The sequence below is a fragment of the Homo sapiens genome, chromosome 3, assembly GCF_000001405.40.
Source record: "Homo sapiens chromosome 3, GRCh38.p14 Primary Assembly".
NCBI classification, from domain to species: Eukaryota; Metazoa; Chordata; class Mammalia; order Primates; family Hominidae; genus Homo; species Homo sapiens.
In genome coordinates, this window is record NC_000003.12 from 96,776,413 (window position 1) to 96,777,887 (window position 1,475).

General features: G+C 51.1%; 1 pseudogene; it reads left to right on the plus strand.

Annotated features, from left to right (window-relative positions):
* On the plus strand, positions 362 to 1,475 carry CDV3P1 (CDV3 pseudogene 1; annotated as a pseudogene).

Genomic DNA, 1,475 nt, shown 5'->3' on the forward strand with positions numbered 1-1,475 from the left:
TAAACATCATGCACAATCCATGACACTTAAATGGGTTTCAGCTGAGGGTCTGTTCATGTTGCTCTGAATTTGTAAGGCTAAGTGAACCCCTTAGCCTCACCAGAAAGCATATTCTTCCGGCTGCAGTTTACTATACAATTTAGACCTAATTAGATGAGGCATTAGCAGCACCTGATGTAGAACCTCCAGCATCCACTGTCCTTTACATCAAAGGCTTTTTGGTTCCACCTTCAGGATTGGCATACTCAAGAGACATTTCACAATCCTAACGCATACTTCAAGTTACTTAACCAGGCAACATACTCTGTCAAAGAACTTCTTTCAAGTTAAAGTAAAAAAGGCCTTAATGTAGAACAAAAATCGCTAGCCAGAACGCAGGGGGGGCCCCCTGCCCCGCCGCGCACGCCGCGGAGACCCCGCGCGGCTGAGGCGTCGCCAGAGCCGGCCTCGACCCCGAGCTGGGAGCCCCGCGGGCCGCGCCCGCCGCCGGCTCCACCCACCCGGGTCCGGGAGGCCGAGGCCATGGCCGCGACAGAGGAGCGGAGCCTGCACAACTTCTTTGCCAATCGGGACAAGAAGAAGAAGGAGCAGAGCAACCGGGCGGCGAGTTCCGCGGGCGCAGCAGGCAGCGCGGCGGGAGCAGTGGAGCTCCGCATTCTAGAGGGCGGCGGGGCGGGCGCAGGGACCTGGCTGGGCGAAGGCAGGACCGCGAGTGCGGAGGCTGCGGGCCCAGGGGCCACCACCAAGGCTGTGAAGAATGGAAAGGCTTGGAGTAAAAAGAGGTTGATTACAGAGGCCTGGGGGTTCAGGCAATGCAAATAAGTGAAAAGGAAGAAGATATTGAAGAGACAAGATCCAGGTGATAACTGGGAAGAAGGCGGAGGTGGTGGTGATACAGAAAAATCTTCAGGTCCCTGGAATAAAACAGCTCTGGTACAAGCACCTCTTGCTCCAGTAATTGTTACAGAAACCCCAGAACTGGCAATGACTAGTGGTGTGTGTGTGTGTAGGCCTCCTGGGGCCAGGTTAACCACAACAAGGAAAACACCACAAGGACCACCAGAAATCTACAGCAATACACAGTTCCCATCCCTGCAGTCAACTGCCAAGCACATAGAAAGCTGGAAGGATAAAGAAATGGAGAAGAGCTTTCAAGTAATAAGACACAAAAATAGAGGTAGGGATGAAGTTTCAAAAAACCAGGCCCTTAAACTTCAGCTAGACAACCAGTATGCTGTGCTTGAAAATCAGAAAAGGAGTCACTCACAATACAATGAAGGAATGGGCTTTGCTAAACCTTCTGAGATAAATAGACTACAGCTAACCACCACGAACAGCCATTCATGATCTGATCTCTGCTGGATCTGTGTACACCGATGCAGATCAGTCGATTTCATGACCAGCCCTATTTCACTGTGGAAGTTAAAGTGTCATGACTGCTTTATGCATATTGGATTTAGGGGAATTTTCATTGT